Source organism: Homo sapiens, chromosome 12 (genome assembly GCF_000001405.40).
Source record: "Homo sapiens chromosome 12, GRCh38.p14 Primary Assembly".
Taxonomy (NCBI): Eukaryota; Metazoa; Chordata; class Mammalia; order Primates; family Hominidae; genus Homo; species Homo sapiens.
Window position 1 is genome coordinate 108,683,955 of NC_000012.12, and position 18,830 is coordinate 108,702,784.

The 18,830-nt window shown below is 41.3% G+C and overlaps 1 protein-coding gene across 3 annotated transcripts in view, besides 9 other annotated features; it reads right to left on the bottom strand.

The window, feature by feature from the left end:
* Positions 1-18,830, bottom strand: part of CORO1C (coronin 1C) — an 86,410-nt gene that overhangs the window by 38,846 nt on the left and 28,734 nt on the right. For all 3 annotated transcript variants that reach the window (NM_014325.4, NM_001276471.2, NM_001105237.2), the window contains exon 2: positions 17,170-17,369. In NM_014325.4, the coding sequence (NP_055140.1) occupies positions 17,170-17,364 (195 nt within the window). In that variant the 5' untranslated portion in view covers positions 17,365-17,369. The remainder of the gene's footprint in view (positions 1-17,169; positions 17,370-18,830) is intronic.
* Positions 7,449-7,728: an enhancer, noted in NCBI's record as "active region_6975". NCBI's record gives its function as "activates an Ori minimal core promoter by ATAC-STARR-seq in GM12878 lymphoblastoid cells {active_cell/tissue: GM12878}" and the evidence as "EXISTENCE:reporter gene assay evidence [ECO:0000049][PMID:35858748]".
* Positions 7,449-8,200: a biological region, named in NCBI's record as "NANOG-H3K27ac-H3K4me1 hESC enhancer GRCh37_chr12:109085249-109085930".
* Positions 7,519-8,200: an enhancer, noted in NCBI's record as "NANOG-H3K27ac-H3K4me1 hESC enhancer chr12:109085249-109085930 (GRCh37/hg19 assembly coordinates)". NCBI's record gives its function as "activates a minimal SCP1, AML or CMV promoter by ChIP-STARR-seq in naive H9 embryonic stem cells {active_cell/tissue: H9 hESC(naive)}" and the evidence as "EXISTENCE:reporter gene assay evidence [ECO:0000049][PMID:30033119]".
* Positions 7,679-7,973: an enhancer, noted in NCBI's record as "tiled region #839; K562 Activating DNase unmatched - State 1:Tss". NCBI's record gives its function as "activates a minimal TATA promoter and a strong SV40 promoter by Sharpr-MPRA in K562 cells {active_cell/tissue: K562}" and the evidence as "EXISTENCE:reporter gene assay evidence [ECO:0000049][PMID:27701403]".
* Positions 8,201-8,882: an enhancer, noted in NCBI's record as "H3K27ac-H3K4me1 hESC enhancer chr12:109085931-109086612 (GRCh37/hg19 assembly coordinates)". NCBI's record gives its function as "activates a minimal SCP1, AML or CMV promoter by ChIP-STARR-seq in primed H9 embryonic stem cells {active_cell/tissue: H9 hESC(primed)}" and the evidence as "EXISTENCE:reporter gene assay evidence [ECO:0000049][PMID:30033119]".
* Positions 9,596-10,108: an enhancer, noted in NCBI's record as "NANOG-H3K27ac hESC enhancer chr12:109087326-109087838 (GRCh37/hg19 assembly coordinates)". NCBI's record gives its function as "activates a minimal SCP1, AML or CMV promoter by ChIP-STARR-seq in naive H9 embryonic stem cells {active_cell/tissue: H9 hESC(naive)}" and the evidence as "EXISTENCE:reporter gene assay evidence [ECO:0000049][PMID:30033119]".
* Positions 10,893-10,952: an enhancer, noted in NCBI's record as "active region_6976". NCBI's record gives its function as "activates an Ori minimal core promoter by ATAC-STARR-seq in GM12878 lymphoblastoid cells {active_cell/tissue: GM12878}" and the evidence as "EXISTENCE:reporter gene assay evidence [ECO:0000049][PMID:35858748]".
* Positions 17,099-17,393: an enhancer, noted in NCBI's record as "tiled region #4572; HepG2 Activating non-DNase unmatched - State 15:Elon". NCBI's record gives its function as "activates a minimal TATA promoter and a strong SV40 promoter by Sharpr-MPRA in HepG2 cells {active_cell/tissue: HepG2}" and the evidence as "EXISTENCE:reporter gene assay evidence [ECO:0000049][PMID:27701403]".
* Positions 17,565-18,097: an enhancer, noted in NCBI's record as "H3K27ac hESC enhancer chr12:109095295-109095827 (GRCh37/hg19 assembly coordinates)". NCBI's record gives its function as "activates a minimal SCP1, AML or CMV promoter by ChIP-STARR-seq in naive H9 embryonic stem cells {active_cell/tissue: H9 hESC(naive)}" and the evidence as "EXISTENCE:reporter gene assay evidence [ECO:0000049][PMID:30033119]".

An 18,830-nucleotide genomic window follows, 5' to 3' on the forward strand; every position in this document is an offset into this window, starting at 1 on the left:
ATATGACTTATAAATACTGATGCAAAGCTCCTCACAAACAGCAACAAAAGCAAACCAAATTCAGCAGTGTGAGTTGTTCTTTAAAAATGTAAATGAACAGACAAGTTACAAAGTGCAAGAAGAGGTATGCAACATACATACCTAACAAAATCAACAACCAAACAGAACGATGGGCAAATTACACAAGCAGAGAACTCACAGCGAAGAAAATCTGAAGACGCAATAGATGTGTGAAAAGATACTTCAATCTCACTGATAATTAGAGAACTGCAAATTAAAACAACATGGTCACATTTTATACTCATCAAAACTGGTGAAAATGTAAAAGTATAAATATAAGTGCTGACAAGGATGTCAGGAAAGAGGAACTCATAAACTGCTTACAGAACACCTTGTTACAATTCCTTTCAAGAGCAATTTGGTAACAGGTAGAGGTGAGGAAGTCCAGCCCAGCAATGCCACTTCTAGGTGGTCTGGGTGAGAGAGATGCTCCCATATTTTGTACAAGAGGAATATTTATTGCCGCATTGTTGGAAATAGTGGCAAAAGCAGAAGCAATTTCACTGTCCTTCAGTATGGGAATACATATTTACATAAAAGTTTAAGGCACGCGAAATAAAAGTACATGTTACAGATAAACATATATGTAATAAAAATATGATACATATTTGAAGAAAAGATTACCTCTGGGGAAGGAGAAAATAAATAAGAATGGTATTCTACCTGTATCTGTTATGCTTTATTACTTTTTTCAAAAAGGGGAGATATGAAACAAATATGGCAAAATATTAACATCTGTTTAATCTTGTGAGTACATGTGTGTCCTATTATTTTGATACATCTTATTTTGAAAAAAAGAATTTAAAATATAATAAAGTTAAGAAATACACCAATGCATTATTATTAAATTTGCATTAAAATTTTTTTTTACTCCCAAGGAAAAAAGCTTTTCTACCTGAATTGTTTTGTTTTACATCAGGGTCTTTGCATTCCTAGGCTCTGCCCAGGAAACCACATTTGGCATCCTTGATGGCCAACTATAGTACTGAGCTCTGAACTTCCAAGAACACCAAATGATTTTTTCCAATCTGGGCTAAGAAGCGCTTTTATTCAAACACAAAGCAATTTTGAGGGGAATCTGGAAGTACTAGCACTAGTTGTTCTTAATTACATACTAAGAAGCTTCTTACTAAATGACTTCTTTTTTGAAGTTAAAATTAAATAACCCTGGCTAAAAGTTAATAGCTATTCACCAGTATTCTTCAGTCAAGATATCTGAGAATAATAATAAGCATTACTGCCATTCCCAGCTCAGCCCCAATAAATCCACAGCCTGAAAGTACTAGAGCTCAACATTTTCTCTGGAACCTGAATGTCACTGAAAGAGCAACTGCCAGCTATTTCTGTCCTTTCTATCAAAACAAATAATAACAATGGCTAACACTTTTTAAGTACTTAAATTACAAGCTAGGAACTGTCTGAAGACCTTGATAACTTTGTCCTCATGACAACCTTTAAGATGTGGGAATCTTATCACCCTATTTTCCAAATAAAGAAACTGAGGCACAGAGAAAGTCAAGAAGCAAAGATCTAAAATATCACTGACCAACCATACTAGATTTGGATAGGGAAAGAAAATTTCCACTATGCCATGGGTTGTAAAAAAAAGGCACACAAGTAATGTTAAAAATTATTGGCAATTGGCCATCAGAAACACAGTTAATAAAAAATGATATTCTACAAGCAGCTGCTTCCTCTGGTTGTGATGTCATCATAAATCCTTAAATAAAACAGAGAAAGTAGTATTCTACTGTAGCACAAGAGAAAAGCAATTGACTAAATATCTGACAGTGATAAAAGAACAAAAATGTGAAGACAGTATGGGGGTAGATGGCATTTTAAAGGTACACTGATTATTTGGCATGCTGGATGTTCACAAACACACAGTCAAGTATCAGCTATCCTGCTTTCAAGGGCTTACACCTCTAAGTATCTTCTTACTCATAATGAAATCAAAACAAAAGCACAACAACATATTTCACCAAATCAGCATACGTTATTAAAAATACAAAGCTGGGCACTTACAAACTGCTGAGGGCTCCAGTTCATGGAGATTAAAGGAAACCATACTAATAACGGCCTTATATGGTAAAGATGAGGAAACATCATTCTGAAAGACATTTTGCACTAGGATCTAATAAGAACACAATTCTCATTCGTCTGCACGACACATACTGATTTATCATGTAGTGAACAAACCAAAGAATCCATGTATAATTAGCTAGATTGTGAGGGGCCACTCAGAAAGACATCCACCACATGTCATGGTGACAACACAGTTTACCTGAACCTCTAAGCAGCAAATTTAAATGAATGCAGAGGCTGAAAGGAAGATGTACAAGAATTAAAGCCAGCTTTTAGATATCTTTTTAAACTAAAAAATGAATTATTTAAGAAACTCCCACCAATCTTCTAAAGCTTAGAGATAGAAAAACTTCACTTTACTAACAGATCAGTCCACTATTTCACTAGGGATAAATCACCTCTGTTGCTTAATCTAGAATATTACTACTTTTCTGGCATGAAATTGAAGTAGTTTAGCTGAAAATGTAATAGCCATTAGACTCCTTGCTTTAAATAAATTTTGATTCATTGATTACTTACTAGTCCCAATCACATGCCATAGGATAGCTTTTGTTATACCTTTCTAGCTAAAACTCCAAATGATTGGGATTACTAGCATGTCAACCCAACAGGTGGCAAAAATGGCCAGCACCAAGTTTCCCAAAGGCTCTGCTCCAGAGCCAGTTCATAAACTCGTGGGACATTGGTGAAATAGGTCAGGACACTGGCCTACAGACATTATTATCTGAAAGATCCAGTACAGCCTGCCCAGAGCCAAGCAACATGAGCCGAAAGGAAAATTCAGCTTCCAAAGCATGTATACAGCTGGCACAAGGGAGAGGTGTAATGGCACAATTTCCACGTGGCTGGCCAGAGCTAAGGGTGATGTCTTATGAGCATGTTCCAGCCAGCAACCTTCACCGTGGCAGAAACCGTCCCAGATACAAGCACTATCATTTGCTTTGGGGAAAACACTTAAAAATCTTGAAGTAGCTACAACACAGCCGAGTTCCTGGAGACTGATACTTCAACTAAACCCACAGAGTTAGGCAACATTTCCTCCAATGGGCATTTTGCGGGGAGAAAGTGAATGAAAATCAAAATGTAAGCATCAGTAAAAATATAACTTTATCAAATTGCTATAAAAGGAAAGTTCAATAACTTAAATGACTTAGCAAAAAACATTCCTCTTTAGGCACACTAAATTCAACATAAATCTTAAGAAATCCGGCGAAACCCTGTCCCTACAAATATAAAAATTAGTCAGGTGTAGTGGTGCGCACCTGTAGTCCCAGCTACTTGGGAGGCTGAGGTGGGAGGATCACCTGAGCCCAGGAGGTCAAGGCTGCAGTGAACTATGATCGCGCCACTGCACTCCAGCCTGGGTGACAGAGTAAGACCCTGTTTCAAAAAAATAATAATAAGGCCAGGTGCAGTGGCTCACGCCTGTAATCTCAGCACTTTGGGAGGCTGAGGCGGGCGGATCACTTGAGGTCAGGAGTTCGAGACCAGCCTGGCCAACATGATGAAACTCCATCTTTACGAAAATTACAAAAATTAGCTGCGCTTGATGGTGTGTGCCTATAGTCCCAGCTACTCAGGAGGCTGAGGCACGAGAATCGCTTGAACCTGGGAGGCAGAGGTTTCAGTGAGCCAAGATCGCGCCAGTGTACTCCAGCCTGGGTGACAGCGAGACTCTGTCTCAATAATAATAATAACAATTTAATTAAAATTAAAAAAAGAAAAAAGAAGAAATGATATTGCTTAGCTGTAAGGGCACTTCCTATCAATCTTACTGGAAAATCACAACAGCTTCCACTTATTAACAATGTATCCCCTCTGACCCTTTTTTTTTTTTTGAGACGGAGTCTCACTCTGTCACCCAGGCTGGAGTGCAGTGGTGCAATCTCAGCTCACTGCATGCAACCTCCACCTCCCAGGTACAGGCGATTCTCCCGCCTCAGCCTCCTGAGTAGCTGGGATTACAGGCACACGCCACCACGTCCAGCTAATTTTTGTATTTTTTTTCACTATGTTGACCAGGCTGGTCTCAAACTCCTGACCTCAGGTGATCTGCCCACCTCAGCCTCCCAAAGTGCTGAGATTACAGGTGTGAGCCACCGTGCCCAGCCCAGTATATCTTATTTATCGATCTCACATCTCCTTCTAAAAAGGAATCCACATTTAAGAAGTAGACTCATCCTATATATTGAGGGCAGTACTGAGTACAATAAAAAAAACTGTTAATGTACACAAACATGTACAGAAAATTTCTGACAGACACGTCTCAATAAAGTTCTGTGCTGGGGTGTGTTTTTAAAGCAGCTAGTGGTGTATTACACATGTACCGCAGCCATGTTCACCTTCCCAAACTCTCGAAATTCAACATTGGGAATTTTGCTTCCAATATGTCCTACATATTACAAAAGATCATTCAGAATGACTGTTTCTTCATGTAAGAATGATTCCTCACATAATTATTTCTGACCCACATATTGGTTTGTGGTTGAAGACACTACCAATTGGTGTTAAAATGGATCAATCTAAGCTGGGCACGGTGGCTCACACCTGTAATCCCAGCACTTTGAGAGGCCGAGGCAGGTGGATCATCTGAGGTCAGGAGTTCAAGACCAGCCTGGCCAACACGGTGAAACTTCATCTCTACTAAAAATACAGGCCGGGCACGGTGGCTCACACTTGTAATCCCAGCACTTTGGGAAACCAAGGCAGGCAGATAGGTCAGGAGTTCGAGACCAGCCTGGCCAAAATGGTGAAATCTCGTCTCTACTAAAAATACAAAAATTAGCCCGTTGTGGTGGCACATGCCTGTAATCCCGGCTACTCGGGAGGGCTGAGGCAGGAGAATTGCTTGAGCCTGGGAGACGGAGGTTGCAGTGAGCTGAGAGCGTACCACTACACTCCAGCCTGGGCGACAGAATGAGACTCTGTCTCAGAAAAAAAAAAAAAAAAAATTAGCCGGGCATGGTGTTGGGCACCTGTAATCCCAGCTACTTGGGAGGCTGAGGTGGGAGAATCACTTGAACCCGGAAGGCGGAGGTTGCAGTGAGCTGAGATCGCACCACTGCACTCCAGCCTGGGCAACAGAGCGAGACTCCATCTCTGAAAAAACAAAAAAAGATGGATCAATCTGATAATCACTGGTTCCTGCAAGAAAGGAAATGTAACATTATGTTAAAGTCGCACAACGCTTTACCCAGCAGGCCTACTCTTTCTCATAACTAATGTATGTTTTCACAAAGTAATAAATTCCCATGGTGATAAAAAGTGACACATTCATTCGAGTGATAAGTCAAATCAAATATTCCCCTTTAAGAAGCTCAAGGTATCCCACACACAATTTCTTTCAAGTTTGCATTCTGGAGTGTATCATATAAACCCACACCTTCCTAGGGTGCTGGATTCAGACTGCTTTCTACACGGTTTCCCTTATCTAATCCAACTCAGGCAGCTGTCTCACTTCCAGTACTTTTCCATCTCCTGATCTGCAGTCCTCTATGCCTATTATCCAGACTGGTTACACCACCCGAAGATGTAAGGGCCTAAGAGCCCCCACCCCATCCTGGGGAAGGCAAACAAAGATACTTTACATGACCTGACTCAAAGAACAGTTAAAAGATTTCCACATTGTTCAAACCCCTACCTAATATTCATCTAAGTTTTCATTTTAGGAAAAAATGAGTATCAAAATCACTTTATGTGCCCAAATTTCAATCATAACTTATTTTTGGCTTTGGGTGATACATACTGAGAATTCTTCAACTCAGCAAGGAGAATGTTAAGTCACACATGTGCTCAGAAGTAGAGGAAAAGTTTTCAGCCCAAGCATAAGGGCTCCATTCACACTGTGCAGAGTTCAAAGGAGTCAAAAGCGTATCTATTGAAGTGGGTTTTCCATTTTTTTCAACTTCCTTTTTCTTATGACAGTATTATTTATGTGGATACATGTTTTGTTTGAATTTCTTAAGCCCCTGCTGCTCCACGGGGAGGAGCTAGAGTGATTGTGGTCATGGGACAAGGGGACAGCGGCATGGAAAACAGAGACTCAGCAGCAGACCAAAAAGACGGGTGCACACAATATATGACTTGTGCACAGGCTGGTCCCTGAGAGTGACAGCTCATGGCCCAGGAATAAAACATTCTGAGGAGGCTTTACTTTAAGGGAACCAGAAATACCATCCTTGAGGTAAAAGGAGGTGCTCTGGAATAAACCCTACAGATTGAGTTACCCTGTAAGGTAAGGTAAGCTAGAAACAAAAGCTGCTGGGGAGAGGGAGTATGGGCCTACAGAGACTTCACCTGCCTGTGAGTAAAAAACAGCAGTCTTTTTGGACAGAAGTGAAAATGCCAAGCAAATAATTTTTGCATCACAGATCCTCTCTAAAAACTGGGTTTAATACTGAATAGACCATATTTTAAAATCAATTAAGAACTTGAGGGAAGTTATTGTAAAACTACAAACATTTTATTATCAGAAAGCAAAAACACGGAAAAGTTAACATTTCCTTACTCAACCTTGCCCAAATATGCGATAGCAACCAGAGTAGCTGTATTTCCTAACTTCCTGACTTAAAGAATTTATAAAGTGAAAACCTAATGCTTTCTGCTCATTATTGCAGACAAGTAATTCCATATGATGCTTCTGGGCTGAGAACAAATAAAAACTTGGAACCCAAGATGAGGTAGAATCTAGTTAAAATAAAATTGAGCTAGAAAGCAAAAGCTGAAAAGCAGAAGAACTACAGATGTAAATGCAATATGGAAAATTAAAGCATTCAATATCAAATCAGAAAATAGAGAAACTGGTTGTCTAAGCCCTCGTAGTAAGCAAATGACATTGGAGATTGATCTACTGAAACCCTCTGTGAACGCTGAAGAGCTCCAGGGCTAACCCTTCCCATTGCAGCTCTGCATTGGTTTAATCCACAGGTCTCAGAATGAAAATCCACCCTCCTTGGATGGTGGAGATGATAAATAGAAAAATATTACAACTTTTTTTGGGGGGTGGGAGGGGCTAATGCCTTGGGCTCCATGGCTGAGTCAGTTCCACACAAGCAAGAGGACTGCAGTATAGACTCAATTCAGTCAGCCAGAAATGAAACCCAAGTCACCGTTCCTCCAAGAAAGCAGACATGTGTCCCATCACATGCCCTCTCAGCTCATTCTTCCCCAGACTCAACTCAGGTCCCACCCCTAATGGGCGAAGATATTCAACTTGGCAGGAGCAGATGATTTGCTACATGTGGTTATAAGGTGGCTTCTGGGCAAAACCGTGACTCCAGAAATGTGTTCATGACACCTTGAGTTTATTTCAGAGTAATGTGTGTTCAGATACCTTTCTTTACCGGAGATACAGCAGCTTTCCCAGACTGGGGTTACCATGTTTACACACTGAGGGCTTCTGCTGGCAGCAATTGTCAGCCTGCTTAGCACAGACTGGCACGCTCCACAAACCCAGTAAAGAGTTAAACGTTCTTTGCACTTGACTCAGTGGCTTCTCTTCACCACACACTCCCAGATCCCACCATTCTCTGAGCCACCCGTGCAGCCAATCAAAGCAAAGGAAGGAAATTATCCTGGCCGGCTGACAGCCACAGCGCTCTGATGGCCATATATGGTAAAAACCACTGTCAGAGCCCTGTCAGGCCTGCGGGCCGGCTGCTGTGGACATATCAGTGAACTGCAGCAGCAGGAGAAGCTGGCCAAGGAAACGCACAAAGGCTGCCTGCTCATCTCCAGGGGAGGGGGTGGGGTGGAAACCATCATCTGCCAGGGCACACATTCAGTGAGTCACAGCCACTCACTGTCATCAAAAATAGCCCCGGGGTACATTGGGAAGTTCCTTCTGCCAGGACTTTGTGCTCCATTGTTAACTGGGGGTGAGCAGGGTGCCCACCCCACCCCTCCCAGCAAAACTGTGGATAACACAGTCACTAGGAGAAAATGAAAAGGCCCTTCTGTGGCACTTCATGTGGTAATGAGGCCAGGCCGTGCTCGTGTGGCTGGCAGCTCGTGACATAATTTGGAAGTCATTGTTCTGCACCTGGTGCCCTCCCCCTGCATCCTCCACCCCTCCCAGTCCTGTCCCCCAGCTTTTCACGGCCCATACACTTGGCAGTTGAAGGTGCTCCAGGCATCAGACAATCTATTTCAGGAGGCAGTGAATGGGCATCCCACGACATGTCAGGACACTGGCTGGCTCTGAACAAAATCCTCTGCCCCTAACACCAAAGCTACCAAGTGCCAAATGTCCACATCTGTACAAAGGGCTACCGGCACTGCCACTGTTGTCTAAAACAGAGTACCACAATGTGTAGAAATGGAAATTGCCTGTCAGCAATGCACAGTAAGGCAGACATGCAGCCAATGCAAATCCAGCAGGTGCTGGCAAAGACTGTGGATCACACAGAAAAGCACTGTCAGGAGACTGCCATTCCCTCTCAAGTAGCCCATGAAAGAAGGCACTTATCAGCACGGCGCCTGGCACTTAAAGGAAGCCCTCAACAAATGTGAACTGCTGCGATTTCATCACTGTCACTGTGTCCTCACAAGGCATGGTATAGACCAAGTACTTTCCAAACCTAAGACAATTCTCTGAGCTGACAGAATGAAAGCCCTGTCAAGTTACTGTTTTTGTTATTAAACTCTCTAATCCCAGAGAAAGAATGCAAAGGATTCAGTGTCCATTAGACCACAGCTTTTTTTTTTTTTTTTTTTTTGAGACAGAGTCTTGCTCTGTCGCCCAGGCTGGAGTGCAATGGTGCTATCTCAGCTCACTGCAACCTCTGCCTCCTGTGTTCAAGCCATTCTCCTGTCTCAGCCTCCCGATTAGCTGCGATAACAGGCGTGTGCCACCATGCCCAGCTAATTTTTGTATTTTTAGTAGAGACAGGGTTTCACCATGTTGGCCAGGCTGGTCTCAAACTGCTGACCTCAGGTGATCCACCTGCCTCGGCCTCCCAAAGCGCTGGAATTACAAGCTTGAGCCACCGCGCCCGGCTAAACCACAGATTCTATATCCTCCCCCCTAAAGAAAAATTCGTTCACACTCAGTAGAAAAAAAATTAATAAAAATATACATGTACAAATCAAATAAGGACTCAGCAACCTAAGTTCTAATTCACAAACAACCTCACGGTCTTGGACAACCACTCAATTTGGTTTCAATTTCTACAACTGTAGAACAGAGGAATGATCCCACCCTACCAAGTGAAAAAACAGAGACACTGTTCATGAAGGGGACTATCCACGTACGATCTGCTGACATTCTGCAGTCTCATTTCCATCAACGTGACAGAAGTCACTGCTTTTTCCTAAAGATGATACAAACGAAAGACGCCATGTTGATCTAGTTAAAACAATGATTCTAAAATATAAAACAGTGCTTATTCTAGTTCTTTTCCCCATAACAATCAAGGAAAATACCAATTTTGCCAAATTCACACTGAAAGTGAAAGAAAGGGTCAAGAAATGTAGGATTTTCTACCAAAAAGCTATCCTTCAGCTTCTTTTGACTCATAATGTTAGTTCACACTATGCATAAATGATTTGTTTATCTTCCAATCAAACATTCTATTTCTGCAATACTACAAAAATCCACCTAAACTAGACATCCTGGAGTCTGAAGGAGGAATGTGCCTACCACCTACTTCTTTGCCCTCCTAGGGACAGAGCCCCTCTACTAACTTAACAGTTTAAAAGTTGGGTTGGCTCCTCTTCTGTTTCATCTTTAGCTCCTACGCAGAGGAAAAAAAAAAACCTGAATTCAAACCGAACCTTCTCTGTGATGTCTTCCTTACCTTCTAAGCCTAGGGTGAAACTATCTCTCACACCCCAGTGCTAAAGCACTTCATGCACAAAGCACCCCCCTGGAGAGATCAAGCACAGTTGTTGAAGCTTCTTAAAAGCAAGAACCTAGCCGGGTGTGGTGGCTCACGCCTGTAATCCCACTTTGGGAGGGCAAGGCAAGAGGATCAGGAGTTCGAGACCAGCCTGGCCAACACAGTGAAACTCTGTCTCTACTAAAAATATAAAAATTAGCCGGGCATGATGGTACACACCCGTAGTCCCAGCTACTCACGAGGCTGAGGCAGGAGAAGTGCTTGAACCTGGGAGGTGGAGGCTGCAGTGAGTCAAGATCGCACCACTGCACTCTAGCCTGGGGAACAGAGCAAGACTGTCTCAAAAAAAAAAAAAAAAAAAAAAAAAGCAAGAACCCACCACAGGTCGCTGCACATGCAGGCACTAAGGAATGAATATGTGAATGAATGAATGTGATTTTTCTAAAGTACTGTGTTAAATTTCACAAACATTTAAGCAATAGTTAGCTCTTTATATGTACTCTGGTAATATTACTGATAATATTTTTCAAAATCTCAATATGTAATAAGTTCATTGTAAAAAAATATTTTTAAGTGCAGGTAATTATAAAGAAGAAAATAAAACATCACTTTTAGTCCCATCAATGTTAACATTGCACATTATTTCCTAAAAACTAATAACACAATTGAAGTTAAGTACGAGATAATGACTATGATCTTATAACACATTTTTTAGGTTATATGAAGGTACCATGGAATACAGGATAACAAAATCTTGCCATATAGCTTTCTCTTGCTATTGAAAGGAATCCCTCAATTATTCACTTAGGACTTAAGAATGTTTATATGTATATAGATATTATATTTCTACGTAGATTTTTTTCTTAAAGGCTAGGTGGAAATATAGTGTTCAAAACTACCAGAAAGCCTTTTAAGTCACTCTGAATTACTCATATATGAATTGTGTGAACTAACATTATGAGTCACGTAATACAGTCTAAGAATATATGTATTAGTTATCAACTGCTGATTAACAAGTTATCCTAAAATTCAGCTGATTAAAACAATAAACATTTATTACTCACACAGTTGCTAAGGATCAGGAATTCAAAAACAGCTTATCTGGGTGGCTCTGGCCCAGGGTTTTTCACGAGATAGTGTCAGCCAGGGCTGCAGTCACCTGATGGCTTTACTAGGGCTGCAGGATCTACTTTCAAGATGGCTCATCACATGGCTGGTTGAGCTGGTGCTGGCAGTCATCAGGAGGTCCTATGGACCTTGCCACAGAGCTGCTGGAGTATCCTCACAACATGGCAGCTCCAAAAGAGACAAAGTAGCAGCCAGTGGGCTTTTATGACCTAGTCTCAGAATTCACACTCCATCAATTCCACCATACCCTATGGTTACACAGGCTAGCCCTATTCAGTGTTGGAGGCCACCTACCACAATATAGTAAGGCAAGTTTTTGGAGAACCTGCACAAAAGGCTACCATATACATAGCCACCCAGTTTGCATCCTCTATCCAAGTGAGTCAAGAGATCAAGAGCATATAATTCTAACCATTCCCTCCGTTAAGTGAATAATAATTTTAATAATGTGATAACGCAGGCTGTGGTACCAGTGGTATGAAGAAGCAACTAAGAGAACCCAATGGATGAGTTCCTCTGTTTCAGTAAATAATCAAAGGCAACATCTGAGCTGGATAATGAACAGGAAGAAAAGACCACCAAGTATCATCATTAGTGGAATACTGACTGAAATGAATCAAGATCTCTTCCTCAACCAACATGACAGAAACATTCCAAAGCTGCCTTCATCAACCTAGGTTCTATAAGAAATTAAAGTCCTAATGCTCTAATATATGCTATTATAGGCAATGAGCTCTTAATCCTATGCATCTAGAAGACTGGCTATGTATCACCCTTGGGAGAACTAAAAAAAAAAAAAAAAAAAAAAAACAGTCTTTCAAATGATTTTCTGTAGAGCTAAATTCTTTCATAAAACCCTACATGAAAAACTGCAAAATGAGTTGAAAAATTGTTCACAGACATAAATAAAGCAAGATCCCAAATATTCCCACACACAGCTCCTAAAATAAATGGGAGAAACACAGTTGTGTATAAGAAAGTACCACACAGCTACAACAAAGGAGCCCATGGGAGAGAAGAAGAGATCATGACCCAAAAAGCTAACAGAGACCTGGCCATACCCATCCTATCCTGGCCAGAGCAGCATTCTTGTCCCAGGTAGTTTCTGTGAGGGTGAAATCAGCTATCATTCCAATTCACCAAAGTTGCTTCACAGTATTTCACAATACTCAAGGAAGGAAGGGAGAAAGAAAGCAACTTGGGAAGACAGGAGCCATCTAGTTCGCATCCTCCAGCCAAGAGAATGTCAAGAGATCAAGAGCATATAATTCTTACCGATTCCTCCCCCTCTTACTTGTTTAAGGCAGGATTTACAGGCTTGTTGTGATATGAAGTGTGTCGGGGGGAGGGAGGGGACGGGGGGGTTGTATGTGTATCTATCCAGAAACACTGGTGTGTATGAGCCCTCCATGGTTCACAATAGGGAGGGAATGTCTCAGTTCTATCTACGTCACGAGTGTGGCTACTCCACAAAGGAAAGGCTTATTCATGCCAACGTGGTAGATTACACAGAGGGCTGAAAACCTGTGTGCTCTTGAGACAAGGCAGCTTGTGCAGTTGTGGCAAGAAAAAAAAGTATTCCTCATAGCCAAAACCACAAAGCCAACTTATGTTCAGCAAGACTGCTATTATTCATCCTCTGAAGGACTAAAGAATAAGTAAATGCACTAAGCCACACCTTGAAAAGTCATGGCAGAGTGGCAAGCCACAGCTTGATGGAAGCATTACAAAAGAGAGTGGGAATCACGTGTGCTAATCTAAATCAACCCACCTCAGGACTGAGGACTTTCTATATTCCTCCGGCAGTGACCTCTTCAAAAATCCCACTTTCCCTAATAAAACCTTCCTAACAAACACCTCATAAACCATATGCTTAAAATAAGCATACATTCATTCTTAAGTGTGCTGCTTGCTGCATATGTGTGTGTCTTTGTATATGCATGTGCTTTGATGTATTTATCCCTATTACTCTTTTCACTTCAGATTTTAAGTCCTGGAAGACAGAAACCATGTCTAACTTATTTTACATTCTCCCAGAATCTAACCACAAGCCTCATGAGGTTGCAATAAGAAGCCTTATTTACTGCTGACACTAAATAGCTTTCAAAAGAAATTCATGGAAAACCATGTTTTCAAATGGGAGCCTTTCTGAAAGGGTCATAATCCACCTTAATTCCAACGTGTACATATTCAGTATTATTATGTACAGAGTCCCAAACGCATCACCAAAACTAACCTGCCTGTCTATAACCAGAAACAAAAAAGGGAAAACATTCTCAGAAGCCCATGAGATAATTATTAAAAGCCATACCCATCTTTTAAGGTTCGTGTTTAAAATCATGCCAGGCTGCTATCAACATGTATTGGAGCCTAACACACATCTAAACATCATTTCTTGCTATCTTGATTTCAAACATAACTTCATATTATAATTGGGAATTTAGTTTTTCTTTGCCTTTAAACCAAAGCAACACCTCATGATAAAACTATTTCATAGTTGCCAAGACACTAAAGTTGTAGGAGTCTCTTTTCCAGGGTAAAGAGCCCTAGTATTACAAAGCCCTGTACTGAAAAGGGATTAATGGGTTCACCATGTAGTTGGAGTCCCCATCATATTTCTTCTTCGAGGCTGTACTTCTAATGAGGAGACAAACACCTCAGTACCAGCAATCTGCCAGGATGCTTTCTTAGACACAAGTGCTCCTGGAGGGCACAGATGCTGGCACACAGCAGGTACTCTGCTTACAGACAATCAAACCAACTAATCGTATATGAAGACTCACTCATATTGTGTAAACAATCAAATATCAACTGTAAAATGTATAACCATTATTCAAATATTCATGACTATACCAAAATTATAAGGTAGACATCAAGAAGGCAGTCAGCCCCATAGAGAAATGTAGGTTTTCTGATAACATGGAAGATCATTCTATTTTCTACCAGCTACTGATGCCTGGTAACCAGCCAGCATCTCAGGTAGGAACAGCAACTTAGAAGAAAAAAAAGGCAAGTGTCACCTGACACTCCAGGGCTCACGGGCCAAGCCCTGCCATAGCAGATCCTACTGAGAACTACCTAGGCACATGACTGTCATGAGGGACCACAGGACCACTCCTCTTTGCTGGGCTCAGCTTTGCCTTAGTGAAAAAGCAGCCAGGAGTAAAAAGGCATCTACTTGCCAAAGTTATACATTGAATTAGGGGGACAAAAATGGAACAAAACTGTTTTCTTTGCTGAATTTTGAGTACACACCAACTGCACTGGAAATCACTTCATAGCTGAGAACCATGGAAGGTGAGAAGCATTTCTGACATGATCTAGAATTTCCAAGGCAGAAAATAACTTTTTTTTCTTTTTGAGACGGAGTCTCACTCTGTCGTCCAGGCTGGAGTGCAGTGGCACGATCTCAGCTCACTGCAACTCCGCCTCCCGGGTTCAAGTGATTCTCCTGCCTCAGCCTCCTGAGTAGCTGGGACTACAGGTGTGCACCACCATGCCCGGCTAATTTTTGTATTTTTAGTAGAGACGAGGTTTCACCACGTTGTCCAGGCTGGTCTCGAACTCCTGACCTCAGGTGATCCGCCCGCCTCAGCCTCCCAAAGTGCTGGGATTACAGGCATGGGCCACTGTGCCCGGCCAGAAAATAACTTTTATACACAGCTGCTTATGTTACAGAGAGAGAAACAGAGGAGCGGAAGGATAAAGAGACACATCCACGTCCCACTACAAGTCAGTGACTGAGCCAGGACTGAACTCCACAGCTCATCAATTCCCAGATTTGTGATCTTCCCTCTATGCCACATTGACGCTAAGAGCTAAATACACACACTTTAATACACAAAAATCTCACATAGTACTCATGAACCTATCGACTATAGAAACCCAAGTATTGATCTTATTTCCAATGGCTGTCACAGGGCTTAGCTTATACCAATGTCACCTCCTCTAAAACAAACTCATATTTAAGGAGCAAAGCTAGACAGACAGTATTATAGCCTGGGAAAGACCCTCGATGCTCCTCTAAAAAGCAACACCTCATCTAAACATGACAATTTGTAAAGCAACTTATTCTATCCTAGTTCCCATAATGCTGGTTAAAGAATGAAATACAAGGACACATTCATTAAGTGTAGGTCACTGAATGCAAGGAAAAACCAAATCATAAGATCAGTTAGCTGGGGCACTGCACACAGGTCTCCCTCAAATGGGATAAGTGAAACTCAGTTTCTCATGGTCTGTAAAAGCAAAGATGAACTCACAGAACCTTTGTGGATGTGAAAGTTGAAAGGAAATGTCTGAATTCAGAGGAAGATTAGCCATTCATTATGTCTATTTTGTGCTTCTTAATTGGCTTGTTCCATTTCTTTGAAGGAAAAAAAAAGTCTTACATTTATCCCTCAGTCTATAAAAGGGGAAATAAAAACTCGTAACTCCAAAACAAATCATGGTGCTCCAGTGTCTGACCTTAGCTAACAAGCTATGGCTGTCTTCTCAGTTGGCTGCCATAAAGCCTACCAGTAAAATGTCAAGTTTCCAAATGCCCCTTGCTCTTGGTGAAGGAATAAGCTAAAACAATGTGGAGACCAAATGCAACTGGCCTTGAGTTCAAATCCCCACTCCAAAACCAGATGAAGAACACTTATAACAGTGTAGTGTACTTATCTGCCACTGAACGACAATTTTTTGAACAGAAATAAAAGTATCTAAATAAAAAATAAATTTTCAACTTAATGAAAAGATTCATCTTCGCCAATAAGAAGGTACATTTGAAAACACGTATCAAATTTGTTCCCCAAAGGCACCCATCTCCCTTCTTCGGTTAGGAGATGGTTCTACTGTGTTATCTATCTGGCCACTGAAGTAAAAATCAGATGTTATAATAAAACAAGTTAGTCACCAGCATCTCTGAAACAAAAGTCCAAGAGAATTGGACATTTTCCCAATGAGAGTTTTCCCAAGGAAAAAACATCAACATACAATGGGAAACAACCCTCTGACAGAAATTCACTTTATTGTAACCACTCTCAGAATCACATGATCCATTGTGATGAGATGTACCCTGAATATAAGGGGCTCAGAAACAGCGGGGATCCACTTCCCCCGCTGTTTTCAGCAGAGTGGAAACAGCTGTCATACGACCCAACATCTGCATCCTCACCAGCACCCAGCCCTTATCACTGGAGCTCAGGACTCACCAAACTCATTTTCCTCCTAAAAGCTAACTAGAAAACAACTGTTTCTAGGCCCTCTTCACAGCTTTTTTTTCTTCATTATTTGCAGTTCTGGGATTTGCTGATAAAGTAACTATAGATTTTGATCTGCAGTATTCATGATTGGTCAGCAAATGCACAAAATTCCTATCTAATCTCCCACCTTGGAGCAGGCTTTCTGGGAGGATAAAGGAAGGAGGAGGGCTTGGAACCCTACTGAAGTTGAAGAAAACATAGAACCATTCTCAGTAAAGATCTTTTATTTCTACCACTTGTTAACACTGTTTAAATCCTACGCTGAAACTTACTATTGTCCAGAATTGAAATCTATATTGAGGACATTTTCTTGAGTTCTTGTTCCATTTCCAACTCAAAAAAAAAAAGGAAATTAAGAAAAGAAAAAGGGCTCATCCTTATGACTTCACAAAAAAAGAGAATATTATCTTACAAATTTCTGCCCATTTGAAAATGTAACTGTTTTTAAAACTTTACTTTGGAGTAAAAGCCAGTTTTTAAAACTGCACTCTAAAAGAAAAATTTTTGTGAAAAGCAGATGATTAAGAATGAAATCTTAAAATTCCTATGCCTGCCCATGCTCACAACATCGTTATAATAATTTTTTCATCCATAGAGGGCATCCCCAGAACAGAGGTCACTATTCTATTTAATGATTCTCTGTTAGAGAAAAACTGATGTGGTTAGTAAGGCGTGTGGAACTTAACTTCAATTACATCAGAGTCTAATGGTTTCACAAATACAATTCTTAGTGAACTGTCAATCTATTAAGGAAAAAGTATGGAGACTATCAGAGGGTGTCTACCAGAATGGAAGATCAAATTACCTACCTTGTGCAGAGGGAGGACAAGGAACGCTCCTCCCCCACTTGCCTCTATGATTATGGCAACAAATCTGGGATTGACAGCACAAAAGGAACTATCCCAGGTCACACGAGAAACCCGGATGTCATCATAGCACTGGTCATTTTTCACCGCTTGCCCAAATACATGCCGAAACTTGCTCTGTCGTACCACTCGCCTCATCGTGTCTGCAAAGGAAGAGTGAGAATTATGTTAGAATTATGCACCAAACTGAAAGCTTTACTTTTACAAATGAAATGCTCCAAGTAGGAAAAACAGAATGGTATGGCATTTTGTCTGCTCTCCTAAAAAGTAGCCAAATTGCAATCCAAATTTCTTTTAGCAGCACATACCCGGAGACAACTGCAAAATGCGTCAGGGAAAGAATTACAAAGAAATGAAAAATTCCTAATTCAAGATCCAGAAACAGCTCATCAGTTTTAATTTCAATGGAAAGATTAAGGGAAAGAATTAAAGAAAATTAGCCTTTCAGGGTTGGGTGGGAGCTGACAGATAATGTACTTCAACCCTTCCCCTTTTACAGATAAGAAAACTCCAAAGTGAAATTCTCTGGTAGAGGTGAGGCTGAAGAAAGCCGAAAAACAAGTTACGATTTTGTGGCTTTGTCCTCAGCCTGCCAAGGTAATTTTTCAGATTGTAAACATTTTCCCTAGACATCAACACTCTGCTGTCTGAGAATTGTGTCTATTCCCCAGAGTGTTTCAACAAGAATAGCTATGGGAGGAATTCAAAAGACACAGCCATCACCCTTGACTTCAAAAGCCTTCTAATCTCCTTCTAACACAGACGTAATAATCAGAGCAACTCACTACCAAACCGCCTAGTGCTAAGTGGTACACAGTGAGAAACAGGAAAAGTCAGCCTAAAGCAGCCTAACGGGTAAGAGCCAGGTCTGGGAAAAGCAGAGCAAAAGTATTTAAATGGAAAGCAATGTGATCAAAGTGATGTTTAGGATGACAGTAAATGTGGCAGGAGCACACTGGACAGCTTACACAGGAACAAGCTCAAAGCCAGGTACTGGGCTAGGAAGCTATTTGACAGTAAACCAGACTTGAGGAAGGCCTGGAGTGATACAGCAGTAACAGTTGGGACCTAGGAAAGGAAAAATGCAGGGGCTATTGTCGGGGGGAAACAAAACCAGGCTGGGTTTTCACTGAGCTGATCATCCACCACAGCCACTTCCCTAGTAAACCAGGGACTCTGAAGGGGAGGGGAGGTGACACAGAGCTAGGTTCCTAGGCTGTCTTATGTGTCATTTCAGACTCCAAATTCGACTAAATCATCTGATAGACACTGAAAGCTTTGTGCTTTCAGATCACCAGGCCCTCCCTGATTAAGATTTCCTAGACTGCACCCAATGTAATTTTCCTATGTGCTACTGCAGGACATTCTGTTCATGTTGGTTAGATAGAAGGAGCCTGGATAAAAATCTAAGTGGAAATGGAACATGGTTCAACATCGACAACTCAGCTGAAAATCAGATCCTCATATACAGAGGAGAGCTAACACCTGTCCACTCATGCCAGACGAGACACATGGTGGGCTGTTGCTAATTCCTTTCCTCTAATTCCCTTCCTCATGGCCCTGAGCCCACTGCTAAATGCAGAGAGACGAATTTATTTTTGCCA